This window comes from Homo sapiens, chromosome 8, assembly GCF_000001405.40.
Source record: "Homo sapiens chromosome 8, GRCh38.p14 Primary Assembly".
Lineage (NCBI taxonomy): Eukaryota > Metazoa > Chordata > Mammalia > Primates > Hominidae > Homo > Homo sapiens.
Genome location: NC_000008.11, coordinates 7,893,665 through 7,909,748, shown reverse-complemented (window position 1 = coordinate 7,909,748; position 16,084 = coordinate 7,893,665). Strand labels below are relative to the sequence as shown.

The window sequence follows — 16,084 nt, the reverse complement described above, 5'->3', positions numbered from 1 at the left end:
TGCTGTAAAGACAGCTGAAAATATGGAAGTGGCTTTGTCACTGGGTACTGGCAGAGGTTGAAAGAGTTTGTAGGGCCCAGCAAAAGATAGGAAGATGAGGGAAAGTTTGGAACTCTTTAGAAACTTGTTAAATGTACGTGACCAAAATGCTCACAGAGATATGGACAGTGGAGTCCACACTATCAAGTTGTTAGATGGAAAAGTGGAAGTTACTGGGAATTAGAGCAAGGGTCCCCATTGTTACACCCCAGTCAAGAGCTTGGCTGCATTGTGTTCACGTCCTAGGGATTTGTGGAAAGTTGAACTTTAGAGTGATTAGCTAGAGCATCTGGTCTAAGTAATTTCCAAGGAGCAAAGTATTCAAGATATGTAGCTGCTTCTACAAGCTTGCAATCAGATACAGGAGCAAAGAAATGCTTTCAATTTGGAACTTAAAGGAGAAGCTGTCAGGCGTCTCAGCCCAAGCCAAGCCATCGCATCCCCTGTGACTTGCATGTATACGCCCAGATGGCCTGAAGTAACTGAAGAATCACAAAAGAAGTGAATATGCCCTGCCCCACCTTAACAGATGACATTCCACCACAAAAGAAGTGTAAATGGCCGGTCCTTGCCTTAAGTGACGACATTACCTTGTGAAAGTCCTTTTCCTGGCTCATCCTGTCTCAAAAAACACCCCCACTGAGCACCTTGCAACCCCTACTCCTGCCCGCCAGAGAACAAACCCCTTTTGACTGTATTTTTCCTTTACCTACCCAAATCCTATAAAACAGCCCCACACTTTTCTCCCTTCACTGACTCCCTTTTTGGATTCAGCCCACCTGCACTCAGGTGAAATAAACAGCCATGTTGCTCACACAAAGCCTGTTTGGTGGTCTCTTCACACGGACGCACATGAAATTTGGTGCCGTGACTTGGATCGGGGGACCTCCCTTGGGAGATCAATCCCCTGTACTCCTGTTTTTTGCTCCGTGAGAAGATCCACCTATGACCTCAGGTCATCAGACCGACCAGCCCAAGGAACATCTCACCAATTTTAAATCAGGTAAGCGGCCTCTTCTTACTCTCTTCTGCAACCTCTCTCACTGTCCCTCAACCACTTTCTCCTTTCCACTCTTCAATCTCTCCCTTCTCTTAATTTCAATTCCTTTCATTTTCTGGAAGAGACAAAGGAGACACGTTTTTTCCATGGACCCAAAACTCCGGCACTGGTCACGGACTGGGAAGGCAGCCTTCCCTTGGTGTTTAATCATTGCAGGGATGCCTCTCTGATTATACACCCACGTTTCAAGGGTGTCTGACCATGCAGGAACACCTGCCTTGGTCATTCACCCTTAGCGGCAATTCCCGCTTTTCTGGGGAAGGGGCAAGTACCTCAACTCCTTCTCGCCTTGTCTCTACCCCTTCTCTGCTTTTCTGGGAGAGGGGCAAGTACCCTTCAACCCCTTCTCCTTCACCCTTAGCGGCAAGTCCCGCTTTTCTATGGGGCAAGAACACCCAATCCCTTATTTCCACGCCCCAGCCTCTTATCTCTGCACCCCAATCCCTTATTTCCATGCCCCAACCTCTTATCTCTACACCCCAATCCCTTATTTCCATGCCCCAACCTCTTATCTCTACACCCCAATCCCTTATTTCTGCACTCCAACCTCTTATCTCTGTGCCCCAATCCCTTATTTCAGTGCCTCAACCTCATATCTCTGCACCCCAATCCCTTATTTCCATGCCCTGACCTCTTATCTCTGTGCCCCAACCCCTTTTCCCACTTTTCTGGAAGGTAAGAACCCCCAAACCCCTTCCTTCCATTTCTCTACTCTCTCTTTTCTCTAGGCTTGCTTCCTTCACTATGGGCAACCTTCCATGCTCCATTCTTCCTTCTACTCCCTTGGCCTGTGTTCTCAAAAACTTAAAACCTCTTCAAGTCACACCTGACATAAAACCTAAATGCCTTATGTTCTTCTGCAATGCCACTTGACCCCAATACAAACTCGACAGTAGTTCCAAATAGCCAGAAAATGGCACTTTGAATTTTTCCATCCTACAAGATCTAAATAATTCTTGTTGTAAAACAGGCAAATGGTCTCAGGTGCCTGACGTCCAGGCATTCTTTTACACATCAGTCCCTTCCTAGTCTCTGTGCCCAGTGCAACTCATCCCAAATCTTCCTTCTTTCCCTCCCGCCTGTCCCCTCAGTACCAACCCCAAGTGTCGCTGAGTCTTTCTAATCTTCCTTTTCTACAGACCAATCTGACATCTCCCTTCCTCCCCAGGCTGCTCCTCACCAGGCCAAGCTACGTCCCAATTCTTCCTCAGCCTCTGCTCCTCTACCCTATAATCTTTTTATCACCTCCCCTCCTCACACCTGGTCCGGCTTACAGTTTCCTTCCGTGACTAGCCCTCCTCCACCTGCCCAGCAATTTACTCTTAAAAAGGTGGCTGGAGCCAAAGATATAGTCAAGGTTAATGCTCCTTTTTCTTTATCCCAAATCAGAAGTGTTTAGGCTCTTTTTCATCAAATATAAAAACCCAGCCCAGTTCATGGCTCATTTGGCAGCAACCCTGAGACACTTTACAGCCCTAGACCCTAAAAGGTCAAAAGGCCGTCTTATTCTCAATATACATTTTATTACCCAATCTGCTCCCAACATTAAATAAAACTCCAAAAATTGGAATCTGGCCCTCAAACCCCACAACAGGACTTAATTAACCTCACCTTCAAGGCGTACAATAACAGAAAAAAGTTGCAATTCTTTGCCTCCACTGTGAGACAAACCCCAGCCACATCTCCAGCACACAAGAACTTCCAAATGCCTGAACCACAGCAGCCAGGCAGTCCTCCAGAACCTCCTCCCCCAGGAGCTAGCTACATATGCAAAATCTGGCCACTGGGCCAAGGAATGCCCACAGCCTGGGATTCCTCCTAAGCCGCGTCTCATCTGTGTGGGACCCCACTGAAAACCGGACTGTTCAACTCACCTGGCAGCCATTCCCACAGCCCCTGGAACTCTGGCCCAAGGCTCTCTGACTGACTCCTTCAGAGATCTTCTCCGCTTAGTGGCTGAAGACTGACACTGCCCGATCGCCTCAGAAGCCCCCTAGACCATCACGGACGCTGAACTTCGAGTAACTCTCACAGTGGCGGGTAATTCCGTCCCCTTCTTAATCATTACGGTGGCTACCCACTCCACATTACCTTCTTTTCAAGGGCCTGTTTCCCTTGATTCCATAACTGTTGTGGGTATTGATGGCCAGGCTTCTAAACCTCTTAAAACTCCCCAACCCTGCTGCCAATTTAGACAATACTCTTTTAAGCACTCCTTTTTAGTTATCCCCACCTGCCCAGTTCCCTTATTAGGCCGAGACAATTTAACTAAATTATCTGCTTCCCTGACTATTCCTGGACTACAGCTATATCTCATTGCCACCCTTCTTCCCAATCCAAAGTCTCCTTTGCGTCCTCTTGTATCCCCCGACCTTAACCCATAAGTATAAGATACCTCTACTCCCTCCTTGGTGACCGATCATGCACCCCTTACCATCTCATTAAAACCTAATCACCCTTACCCCACTCAACACCAATATCCCATCCCACAGCATGCTTTAAAAAGATTAAAGCCTGTTATCACTCGTCTGCTACAGCATGGCCTTTTAAATCCTATAAACTCTCCTTACAATTCCCCCATTTTACCTGTCCTAAAACCAGACAAGCCTTACAAGTTAGTTCATGATCTGCACCTTATCAACCAAATTGTTTTGCCTATCCCCCCTGTGGTGTCCAACCCGTACACTCTTTTGTCCTCAATACCTTCCTCCACAACTCACTATTCTGTGCTTGATCTTAAAGATGCTTTTTCACTATTCCCCTGCACCCCTTGTCCCAGCCTCTCTTTGCTTCCACTTAGACTGACCCTGACACCCATCAGGCTCAGCAAATTACCTAGGCTGTACTGCCGCAAGGCTTCATAGACAGCCCCTATTACTTCAGTCAAGCCCAAATGTCATCCTCATCTGTTACCTATCTCAGCATAGTTCTCATGAAAACATATGTGCTTTCCCTTGCTGATCATGTCCGATTAATCTCCCAAACCACAATCCCTTACAAAACAACTCCTTTCCTTCCTAGGCATAGTTAGTGCAGTCAGAATTCTTACACAAGAGCCAGGACAGCACCCTGTAGCCTTTCTGTGCAAACAACTTGACCTTACTGTTTTAGCCTAGCCCTCATGTCTGCGTGCAGTGGCTGCCGCTGCTTTAATACTTTTAGAGGCCCTCAAAATCACAAACTATGCTCAACTCCCTCTCTACAGTTCTCATAACTTCCAAAATCTATTTTCTTCCTCATACTTGACTTATATACTTTCTGCTCCCCGGCTCCTTCAGCTGTACTCACTCTTTAAGTCCCACAATTACCATTGTTCCTGGCCCGGACTTCAATCTGGCCTCCCACATTATTCCTGATACCACACCTGACCCCCATGACTGTATCTCTCTGATCCACCTGATATTCACCCCATTTCCCCATATTTGCTTCTTTCCTGTTCCTCACCCTGATCACGCTTGATTTATTGATGGCAGTTCCACCAGGCCTAATTGCCACACACCAGCAAAAGCAGGTTATACTATAGTACAAGCCACTAGCCCGCCTCTTAGAACCTCTTATTTCCTTTCCATCGTGGAAATCTATCCTCAAGGAAGGAAATAACTTCTCAGTGTTCCATCTGCTATTCTACTACTCCTCAGGGATTATTCAGGCCCCCTCCCTTCCCTACACATCAAGTCAAGGATTTGCCCCACCCAGGACTGGCAAGTTAGCTTTACTCAACATGCCCTGAGTCAGATAACTAAAATACCTCTTAGTCTAGGTAGATACTTTCACTGGATAGGTAGAGGCCTTTCCTACAGGGTCTGAGAAGGCCACCGCAGTCATTTCTTTGGTTCTGTCAGACATAATTTCTCAGTTTAGCCTTCCCACCTCCATACAGTCTGATAACACATGAGCCTTTATTAGTCAAATCAGCCAAGCAGTTTTTCAGGCTCTTAGTATTCAGTGAAACCTTTATATTCCTTACAGTCCTCCATCTTCAAGAAAAGGAGAATGGACTAAAGGTCTTTTAAAAACACACCTCACCAAGCTCAGCCACCAAAAAGGACTGGACAATACTTTTAGCACTCTCCCATCTCAGAATTCAGGCCTGTCCTCGGAATGCTACAGGGTACAGCCCATTTAAGCTCCTGTATAGACGCTCCTTTTTATTAGGCCCCAGTCTCATTCCAGACACCAGACCAACTTAAACTGTGCCCCAAAAAACTTGTCATCCCTACTATCTTCTGTCTAGTCATACTCCTATTCACTGTTCTCAACTACTCATACATGCCCTGCTCTTGTTTACACGGCCGTTTTACACAGTTTTTCCAAGCCATCACAGCTGATATCTCCTGGTGCTATCCCCAAACTGCCGCTCTTAACTCTTGAAGTACATAAATAATCTTTGCTGGCAGGACTATGATGAGTCTCCTTAGGCACTCTCTAATCAGATATCCTGAGTCGTCCCAATTCTTAGACCTTTTATACCTGTTTTTCTCCTTCTGTTATTCCATTTAGTTTCTCAATTCATCCAAAAGCGTATCCAGGCCATCACCAATCATTCTATATGACAAATGTTTCTTCTAACATCCCCACAATATCACCCCTTACCACAAGACTTCCCTTCAGCTTAATCTCTCCCACTCTAGATTCCCACGCCACCCCTAATCCCGCTTGAAGCAGCCCTGAGAAACATCGCCCATTCTCTCTCCATACCACCCCCCAAAAATTTTCACCACCCCAACACTTCAACACTATTTTGTTTTATTTTTCTTATTAATATAAGAAGGCAGGAATATCAGGCCTCTTAGCCCAAGCCAAGCCATCGCATCCCCTGTGACTTCCACGTATATACGCCCAGATGGCCTGAAGTAACTGAAGAATCACAAAAGAAGTGAATATGCCCTGCCCCAATTTAACAGATGACATTCCACCACAAAAGAAGTGTGAATGGCCGGTCTTTGCCTTAAGTGATGACATTACCTTGTGAAAGTCCTTTTCCTGGCTCATCCTGGCTCAAAAAGCAACCCCACTGAGCACCTTGCGACCCCCACTCCTGCCCCCCAGAGAACAAAACCCCTTTGACTGTAATTTTCCTTTACCTACCCAAATCCTATAAAACGGCCCCATCCTTATCTCCCTTTGCTGACTCTCTTTTCAGACTCAGCCCGCCTGCACCCAGGTGAAATAAACAGCCATGTTGCTCACACAAAGCCTGTTTGGTGGTCTCTTCACACGGACGCGCATGAAAGAAGCAAAGCATAAAAATTTGGAAAATTTGCAGCCTAGAAATTTAGTAGAGAAAGAAAAAGCATTTTCAGAAGAGGACTGTAAGGGGCTGTGGAGAAACCACTTGCTAGAGAGATGTGCATGACTGAGAAGGAGCCAAGTGCTAATAGCCAAGACAATGGGGAAAAAGCTTACAAGGCATTTTTGAAAACTTTGAGGCATTCCCTCCCACCACAGCCCACAGGCCTAGGAGGAAAGAATGGTTTCAGTGGCCAGACCCAGGCACAGCTGCCCTGCTCAGCCTCAAGACACATCCTGGCTGCCCAGCCTCCAGCCTCAGCTCAAAGGGCCTAATGTACAGATTGGCCACTGCTTCAGTGGGTGAAAGCCAGAACGTCTTGGCAGCGTTCATGTGGTGCTAAGCCTGCAAGTCTGCAGAGTGCAAAAAGGAAGGAGGCTTGGCAGCTTCCACCGAGATTTCAGAGGATGTGTGGCAAAGTCTGGTTCTCCAGGCAGAAAACTGCTGCCGAGGGAGAGTACCAAGAGAAAAACTCTACCAGGGCAGTGCTAAGGGGAAACGTGGGGTTGGATTCCCCACACAGTGTCCCCAGTGGGGCATTGCCTAGTGGAGCTGAGGGAAGGGGAACACTGCCCTCCAGACCTGAGAATAGTAACACTGTTGACAGCTTGTACCCTCAGCATGGAAGAGCCACGGGCATCAGATTCTGACCTGTGACAGGAGCCATGTGGGCTGCACCCTGTAAAGCCACAGGGGCAGAGCAGCCCAAGGTCTTCAGAGCCCACCCTCACAGCAGAATAAAGGACATGGAATCAAGAATTATTTTCAAACTTTGAGGTTTAATAGCTGCCCTGCTGAGTTTCTGACATGTGTGGGGCCTGTAATCCCTTTTATTGGCCAATTTCTGCCTTTTAGAATGGTAGTGTCTAGCCAATGCCTGTGCCATCATTGTAACATGAAAGTACATAACTTGTTTTTGATAGTACAGGCTAAAAGGCGGAAGGAATTTGAGTCTCAGGGGATGAGATTTTGAACTTTGGACTTTTGATTAAGTTAATGCTGGAAGTAGTTAAAACTTTGGGGAGTGATTGGGAAGGGATGATTGCATTTTGCAATGTGAGAAGGACATGAGATTTGAGGGGCCAGAGGAAGAATAATATTTTTCAGATGTTTGTCCCCTCGAAACCTCCTGCTGAAATCTAATCCTCAGTGTTGGAAGTGGAATCTGGTGGGAAGTGTTTGGGTTGTGGGGGTGAATCCCTAATGAATGACTAACTGCTTTCATCACAAAAATGAGTGAGTTCTTGCTCCGAGTTCATACAACATGTAGTTGTTTAAAAGAGTCTGGGACCTCCTTGCACCCTCTCGCTCCACTCTTACCACGTGATATTCCTGCTCCCACTTGACTTTCCACTATGACTGAAGGCTTATGGAGTCCTAACAAGGAGCGGATGCAGGCACCATGCTTCTCACACAGCCAAAAATAGTGAGCCAAATAACTTCCTTTCCTGAAGTATTATCCCACCTCAGGTATTCCTTTAGAGCAACACACACAGACTGACACAGGGCGTATCGTGCTGTGTGAGCTTTGACCTTGGTCTCCTCAATGCTACAGGGTGCTGGTCTTCATGTAAGTCTTCCTCCCTGTGCTGTGGCCTGTAACCTGGCCCTATAGAGAGCTAGGGGCAAAAGGACATCCTAGTTTATTTGTTTGTTGCACTGCTTATTATCCAATATATGAACACAGCTGTCTCACACCTGCTGACTAGTTCCATCTTGTCTACTGTAGGAGGGCAATTCCCATAGCAGTGAGTCCGTTTGGATGGAAACTGAGGAACAGGCTCAACTTTTTCAGTTTTTGTCCCTTCTTCCTGAGAGCCTCATTGTCTTTTCATATAAGCCTTCAGAATTTGAGAAAGATATACATAAAATTCCGTAAAATGTTGGTAGGTTTTCATCTTTGTTCTCCATTACAGAAATGTAGCCTTAGCTTTTTTGTGTTACTAATTTTATGCTCAGTTTATAATTTGAAACCAGTAGGCCCTTCCTATTCGTGTGTTCCACATCAGGAAACGTTCTACAAAAACATTGTGTCTGAATTGAGCATGCACAGGCCTTTTTCTCTTGCCATTATTTTCTAGGAAATACAGCATAACTCCTACTTACTTAGCATTTACATTGTGTTCAGTGTTACAAGAAATCTAGGAATGATTTAAAGTATATGCAAGGAGTGTGAAGATTATATGAAATTACTACTCTTTTATATCAGGGACTTGAGCATCTGAGGCATTTGGTATACACAGGGGGTCCTGGAACCAATCCCCCATGGATACTGAGGAGCAATTGTATTTGTGTTCTGTTTCTAAGCAAATTGTCATAAGCTTAGTGACCTAAACCAACACAAATTATCTTGCTGTTTTGGGGATCAAACATGAAAAATCAAAGTGTCCTTAGGACCTTTTTCCTTTCCAGAGGTTCTAAGAAGCTGAGTTTGCTTTCCTTTTTTTTTTTTTTTTCTTCTTTGCCTTTTCAAATCTGAGAGGCTGCCCATGTTCCTTGGTTTGTGGATCCTTCCTTCATCTTCAAATCCAGCAATGGCTGTTGAGTCGTTCCCACATCGCATCACCCAGACACTGACTGTTCTGCCTTTCTTTTCCACATTTAAGGATTCTTGGATTACGTTGGTCTCATTCACATGATCTAAGTTAATCTCCCGGTTTTAAAGTCAGCATATTAGCCAACTATTCTATCTGCTGTCTTAGTTCTTATTTGCCGTAAAGTGTAACATAATCCCAGGTTCTAGGGATAAGGACATGGACATCTTTGGGATGCCGTTATTACACCTACTACACCTAGTAAAATAAAATTCAGTGACGTAATAAATACTTTCACCAAGAAAAATATCTTTAAAGAAAAAATGTTTTCAGTGATTCATAGTGTTATTAGATGAATATAGGAGGCCAAGTTCAATTTGGCTTTCAGAAAAACCATGAAGAACTTTTTAGTGTATTTAATCCCAAATAGTATGAGATAGATAATGCCACAATAAACTGGATGTTGTTTATCTAAAACTCACATTTAACTGAGTGTCCTATACTTTTATTTGCTAAATCTGTCAACCCTAGTCATGTAGGATTAATACAAACAAATACATGTTTCTTCTAAATACATGTTTCTTCTAAGTTGCTCACATATGAGAGCAAAACAAAGAAAAGTACATTTAAGGTTCTATCACAGGTCTCTGAGAAAAAGTTTCCTGGATGTGTTATCATCCCCCAGATACCCTACAATTAGATCTTTTTGATGTTTCTTTAGTGTTTTTTTAATTATCTCTCTTTGATCAAGACCTTCACTGAAATGTATTCTTTTAAAAGCAAACACTCCTTCATTTTGGATTCATTAAGAGACAGATGTTAGCATGAAAAAGCCCATATCCCAAGAAGGCTGGGGCATCTGAAACATGTCTGACCCTTTTCATTTTTGAATAGACTCTCCTGTCTTATGTAAAAATATTAAATAATTGAATTCTAGTACTTGATACAATATGTTAAGTCAATATCACAATAGATGGGATTAATAGCAAAGTGACCAGAGCAGAGTAGAGGATCCAAGAATTAAAACACAGGTCAGTGGGCTGGGCACGGTGGCTCATGCCTGTAATCCCAACACTTTGAGAGGCCAAGGCAGGCGAATCACTTGAGACCAGGAGTTCAAGACCAGGCTGGCCAACATGGTGATATTCTATCTCTACCAAAAATACAAAAAAAAAAAAAAAAAAAATTTAACTGAATGTGGTAGAGGGCACCTGTAATCTCAGCTACTCAGAAGGCTGAGGCAGGAGAATTGCTTGAACCTGGGAAGCAGAGGTTGCAGTTGAGTCGAGATCACACCACTGTACTCCAGCCTGGGTGACAGAGCAAGGCTCTGTTTCAAAAAAAAAAAAAAAAAGTAAGAATACAAGTCAGTGGAAAATTTTCAGGTTGAAGTGCAGAGATATAAAATAATGAAAAATACAAAAAATTGCATAAATATATATGTGAAGACACAGTAAAAGGATGCTTTGTATATGTGTATCTGTGTGTTTGCATTGAGTATATATGCAATACACACATATTGCATATGTGTTTGTGTACATACGTATGGTTGGTGCAAAAGTAATTGCAGTTTTTGCCATTACCTTTAAAGGCAAAAACCGCAATTACTTTTGGACCAATTCTCTATCTATCTAGACAATTCTATTTCCAGGAAGAGAAATGAGCGAGGGACAGCAGCAATAACTGAAGAACTAATGGCTGAAAATCTGCTCAAAGCAATGATATTATTCCACATATTCAAAAAGCTCTGAAAACACCAAGAGGATGTGTCAAAAGTAAACTCTACCTAGACTAGTCTCAGACAAACCCTGTTCTTTGGAGAGTTTCTTCATCTGCTTTAAATATAGTTGGAACAAGATCAGTTGCTAATTTTGTAGCCAGGTGAATTCAATAAAATGATGAATGAGCTTCAGTGTTTAAAATTAATACCTTTTTTTTTTTCTTATGAGTCTTCAGGCACGATGAAATGGGAACAATTTTATTCTGTTATGTCATGAGTTCACAGGTTCAGAGACTTAGAGTATGACTTGCAAGCTCACTTGGTTGGAATGGATTCTGTGAATTCTGTAAACTCCCGGAGTTATCCTATTTTTGACCATCCAAATTAAACAGCTCCAGCTCCCATTCCTCATTAGTGTAGACAGCCAAATGTTTCTCAGAACTCCCTACAGGTGCTTATGCTCCTAATATCTTGTGCAAATTCTTATTTCTGTCTTCTGTGTGACATTCTCTGGCCACCTCCACCTCACTCCTGCAACCAACTACCCATTTTCTTTGTAGCTTTGCATTAAGAATTACTGAGGCTTTCCCCCTTTTCCAAGAATTTTCAAATACACAGCAATTGATTGAGACACAGTTTTGCAAAAACATAAGGATAATGACGGGTGGTTAATGCACAGAACTGTTAAAAATAAGAATAGAAATCAGAGTGCATTCTAGCTAAAGAGTTCAGCCACTCTTGGCAATAACCTCTACAGGCTACTTTGTGCCCTGATGTTACAGGTATACCTGCTCCTTTTGGAACCCAGAACTCCTTTCATTGTTAATCTCTGAGGGCCAAGAAACCTTTAACATTTTATTTTTAGAATTGTAGAATGATTTAGCGCTTATGGATTGTATCTCTATTTCACAGATGCAGTCAGGTGTCCTATCTTCCAAGACCTAAACAGCCATTAAAGGGTCTTCTTAAATAAAAGGAGAGTTTCTTCCTAAGAGAGTTGTGCTGTTTCCCCTAGAACATAGGAATGAATGTCATTGTCATGGTGACTTTTACTTTTTTTGTGTGTGTGAAGCTTCACTTCTTTTATACAGTCAAATGATATATGCTTCCAGGAATCAAGAAATCCACTAATTTATTCAAAATAACAACGTATATACGATGAATATTAAATGACTAAATAAAGGCAGGGTCTGACTATCCTGGCATCAAGGTAGGTGAGTGCGACTGAGTTGGACAATCACAGGATTAGACCCTGTCTTGGTTTAAATTTTGGAGAGTTTGTTAATTATGGTGATTTTTTCATGAATATTATTTTTTAAAAATCTATCGCATTATAAGATCATCTATCTTAAGTACAGGATATCTTAGTGCTTACATTTTATACCTGAGGCCAGAGCCTCCCTCGCTTCGCCCTAGTCCTGGCTCTGTCATCACGTCTGGATAAAATCTATATCCAGATAAAAATGCTTTTACTCTAACAAGGTCTGGTTACTTTTTTCAATCTTGAGATTAGGAAAGACAATGGATTATTTTGGAACTAAGGTGCATTTTCCCAGACGTAGATGATATGCACATTCAGTGCAGAGCTAATGTGAAGAAATAGAGAGCTTCTTATGCGTCTAGGATACACCCACAGAGTTCATGATTTAAGGACCAAACCCTCCCAAGGAGAGAGAGCAGGGCCAGGGAGCTATCTTGATGCTCCCCCTTAGAGTCGATGAGTCTTTCTTCTTGAGGTTTGCTCCCCTCTGCTTGTGTCCCATGCCATATTGTCCTCATTTAATTGTGCCCTCAAAGAGACTTGTTTTTAACAGCATTTACTTGGATCCTATTATGTTTGTATGTAAGGAAACCCTTGTACAACTGCATTTTGCCATCCAATTAATGAAATAGTTTATGAATGGCCAGCACATAAATGAATAAGACAAAGTCCACACTAGTAGAAATCTCATAGCTAAATGGAGAATTAAAAATTCACGCACCTCTGTAGGAGGCATAATTGCATAAGAAACCTTAGCCAGAAGAAGGGAGTCCTTGTGAAGAACAGAGGACTGGGCATCCCCTCCCTTGGCAGATCCACTATGATTCCATGAGGGAACTGGTCTTTGAGTTGGGCTTGCTTTTTTTAGGGAAGATGTGGGATAGGTGAGGGCATGCAAGGGGAGGATGCAGGAGGAGCAAAGCACACGTTTTAGGAAAATGCCGGGAATAAATGGGGAAGGTCAAGGAATCCAAAGAATACAGATGCCTGTGACCCTGGAAAGCACTCCAAGCCCCGCTGTGGCAGCCCTGACCCCTTCCTGGAGAGCAGAAAAAGGTGTTTCAAGGATATTAGAGATGGCCTGCCCAAACCAACATCATCCAATGACCACAATTACTAGGATAAAGATTGCGTATCTTTGGACACCATAGTTTAATTTGGTTTACATGTCGCACGTCTCTGATGAGGGAGCCCTTTCTGAATCCGCATCAGCCACAGCAGCTTCTTGGCCTCCTCATGGCTTTTTGCAGCATTTTGTTCCAGGGAGACCACAGGTGCCAATTTGTTTATACCTTCTAGGGCAAAAGACTGGATGACATATGGCTCCACTCTTAAGGCAGGTAACAGGATCGCCTATACCACCAAAAACACCTAACAGGGAAAAAACACACAAAAAGAGCAAACAGCGTGTAAGAACTCAAAACTCATGTTGGAAAAACACAAACCCTGTGTCAGTATCGCCTTGAGTAAATCCGCAGCGGGCTTCTTTCTCAAGCCTGGGCTTTTCCATCATGATAATGAGACGCGAGTCAGTCATTTGGATCTAAGTTTCTGACATGGAAACTGGCACTGCTGTGGTTTGGGGGATGTTTATTTTTGTAGAACCTGATTGTGAAAGACCCTGATCTCTCCTGAGTGACTGGGGCCTCCAGGTGGGGTCTGGCAGGAGCTCAGCAACGATCTCTTGTGAATTCAGCTCCACCACAAGAAGATAATATCAAAGCCACCATACCTCCATTTTAACACACACAAGCCAGTAAACTTTTGCTTTTTCAAATCATTTAGTCTGTTAAGTATTTGATCTGAGATGGGATAAAAAAGATGCAACTTACTGAAATTGTTTAATAGGAAATTAACACCAAGTAACTTACAGTTGAAAACCACAATTAACCATAGAAATAAATTTTGTAATGGCTTGTTTCTAATATCTAAGTCCTGGTTTCAACCTCATTCTTCTTTTTGTTTCCCTCCCTCCCTCCCTCCTTCCCTCCTTCCCTCCCTCCCTCCCTCCTTCCCTCCTTCCCTCCCTCCCTCCCTCCCCCTCCCACCAGCCTGCCTCCCTGCCTCCCTGCCTCCCCGCCTTCCTTCATTATACTGTTCTAGGTTTTGGAAAATATGAGGTCTCTGGTGCCTCTCAGAACCCCATTGTTCTCACAAAACCCAGGACTCATAAATAAGATTGGTAAAATGAGGATTTCACAAGATGATATCTATTAGATTAATTGTTTTAGGATTTACTCTCAAATTTTCTTTTTCCCTTTCTCCATCCTTCCCTTCCACTCTCCCTCTTTTATCCTTTCATGGTTTTTATTTTATTTTCATAATATCAAGGAGAAAATGAAGGTTAGGCATCCAGGTTTAAAAGTTGGTTTCAATGGGCTGTCCCTGTCCTGTGAACCTGCAGTGGCCTAGTGGCAGGGACTGTTCTCAGGGCCTCTGATCAGAAAAGTCCTGGGGGCAGAGTGTCTGCTGCAGTAGTTCTCACAGTATAGGCTGGGCCTTAAGATTATCTGGAATTCTCTAGGTTGCAGTATCTACTCTTTAAATATAAAAATTTAGAAAATGACATTCTATACTACTTTCTTTAGATAAAATCAAAATTTCTGCCTTTTATTTAAAAAGTCACCTAACAGGTTTCAACCATAGTCTCAGCAGTTGTAGCATGGAAAGCAGTGAAGAGATGATATTTACAAACTACTGGGCTCCTTCATATTGGCTTAGAAGAACGAGTGAGTTGTCCATTGGGTTCTCAAACTCCTTTTCTATTGAAGGAAGCAATGCTTGGTTCAATTAAATAGGGCATTCAGTCTACTCAGTCTAAAAGTGTGGGTAGAAGAAAGGAAAGAGAAAGAAAGAAAGACATGCTCTAGGGAGAGAGGAAAAAGAAAGACAGAAAAAAAGAGAGAGAGGGAAGAAGAGAGAGAAGCAGGAGAAAAGGATGGAGGGGACACACAGAGAGAGGAAGGAGAGAGAGGGATGAGGGAGAGATAGGTGGAGGGGAATGAGAGGAGACAGAGAACTTCTACGCCATTCTTCCATTTGGCCAACCCTCCTATTTCCCTGGCCCATCTCACCTGGAAGAGGCATCAGGAATATGAAGAGGAACGAGAAGAGGAGATACAAGACCCTCATGGCTGATGGCTGGGAGCTTCACCAGGAGCTGAGTCTGGGGAGGACATCAAGCCTTCCACCTTATAAAGGTCCTGGTCCCTGGTCACCAGGTAGAGTTCAGAACTGGTATTGGGTGCAATGCTCATTACAGAGGTTAGAATTCAGCCACTTACCTGGTGAGTCAGAGAATGGTCCTCAAAGAACAATGCACACTCAGGAGATCTTATGCAAATCTGGACTCAGGAAACCCCAGAAAATCCCTTCCTCCTGCTCTTGGGACCAGAAAATTCCTCCTATCTTGCACCATTTAAAACCCAGTGTGTGAATGGAGTGAGGGGCTGGGTCTGTCTCACGTGAGAACAAACTCAAACTCAGGACCTATAACCTGCCACTCACCTGCTGCCCACTCTGTGCGACGTCCTGTTTTTCCTGAGTATCTGGGGACAGTCTCAGGCCAAATTGAGAGCTCTTTCCATCTAATTCTATCCATTGCTCGGACATTCAGCTCCTGGGGATGATACAGGGCTGGCTCAAACCCAGGGACCCTGGAGGGGCTCAGGGCCTCTGGCAGCACCGGGAGCATGGTGGGCCCCATCCTCACAGGAGATCTGAGCTGGTGAAATTTATGTGAAAGTTCCCCTGAAACTCCCCATCTTCCCCACGGGAGAGAGATGAGGCAGATGGATGCCCACTTCCTTCCTCTGAGAAGGAGAATGGGAGGATGGGATTGTGACTACATGTGTCCCCTCAGAGTTCACCCAGGCCTGGGCCAGGAGGTGGCCTACCACCCGCACTTGAGTTCCTTCCATTCACACCGTCACTCAGGGAATGTCAGCTCCACAGGACTTCAGGGCTTTGGGAGCCAGGGCTTTCTCTGCTTTCCACAGACGTCAGCGTCACTGCCCTTGGGATTTGGTGGAGAAGCACCGAGTAGGGCTGCAAGGCCTCCACGTGGTCTCCCTGTTGGTGATGGGAAACACTTATGAAGGAGCCCCATGTTTTCAGGGCTGTGTGAGGTCTCTGGTGTCTCTCAGGACCCTGTCCTTCTTCCGTAACCCAGAGTAGCAAT

At 44.0% G+C, this 16,084-nt stretch overlaps 1 protein-coding gene and 1 pseudogene across 1 annotated transcript, besides 2 other annotated features; both read right to left on the bottom strand.

The window, feature by feature from the left end:
* The window catches only part of LOC124901865 (translation initiation factor IF-2-like), a 451,468-nt pseudogene that overhangs the window by 155,443 nt on the left and 279,941 nt on the right, over nt 1-16,084 (bottom strand).
* Nucleotides 5,348-6,268: an enhancer, noted in NCBI's record as "OCT4-NANOG-H3K27ac-H3K4me1 hESC enhancer chr8:7761003-7761923 (GRCh37/hg19 assembly coordinates)". NCBI's record gives its function as "activates a minimal SCP1, AML or CMV promoter by ChIP-STARR-seq in naive H9 embryonic stem cells {active_cell/tissue: H9 hESC(naive)}" and the evidence as "EXISTENCE:reporter gene assay evidence [ECO:0000049][PMID:30033119]".
* Nucleotides 6,269-7,191: an enhancer, noted in NCBI's record as "OCT4-NANOG-H3K27ac-H3K4me1 hESC enhancer chr8:7760080-7761002 (GRCh37/hg19 assembly coordinates)". NCBI's record gives its function as "activates a minimal SCP1, AML or CMV promoter by ChIP-STARR-seq in primed H9 embryonic stem cells {active_cell/tissue: H9 hESC(primed)}" and the evidence as "EXISTENCE:reporter gene assay evidence [ECO:0000049][PMID:30033119]".
* On the bottom strand, nt 13,033-15,072 carry DEFB4A (defensin beta 4A). Its single transcript, NM_004942.4, has 2 exons — nt 14,979-15,072; nt 13,033-13,275 (listed from the first exon to the last, which is right to left on the bottom strand). The coding sequence occupies exons 1-2, from the start codon at nt 15,034-15,036 to the stop codon at nt 13,139-13,141; spliced, it is 195 nt and encodes a 64-aa protein (NP_004933.1). The 5' UTR covers nt 15,037-15,072; the 3' UTR covers nt 13,033-13,138.

Coding starts and splice junctions, on each gene's coding strand:
- DEFB4A (NM_004942.4), bottom strand. CDS start 15,036: ATGAGGGTCTTGTATCTCCTCTTCTCGTTCCTCTTCATATTCCTGATG. Junction 13,276..14,978: donor ATTCCTGATGCCTCTTCCAG/GTGAGATGGGCC, acceptor TTTCCCTGTTAG/GTGTTTTTGGTGGTATAGGC.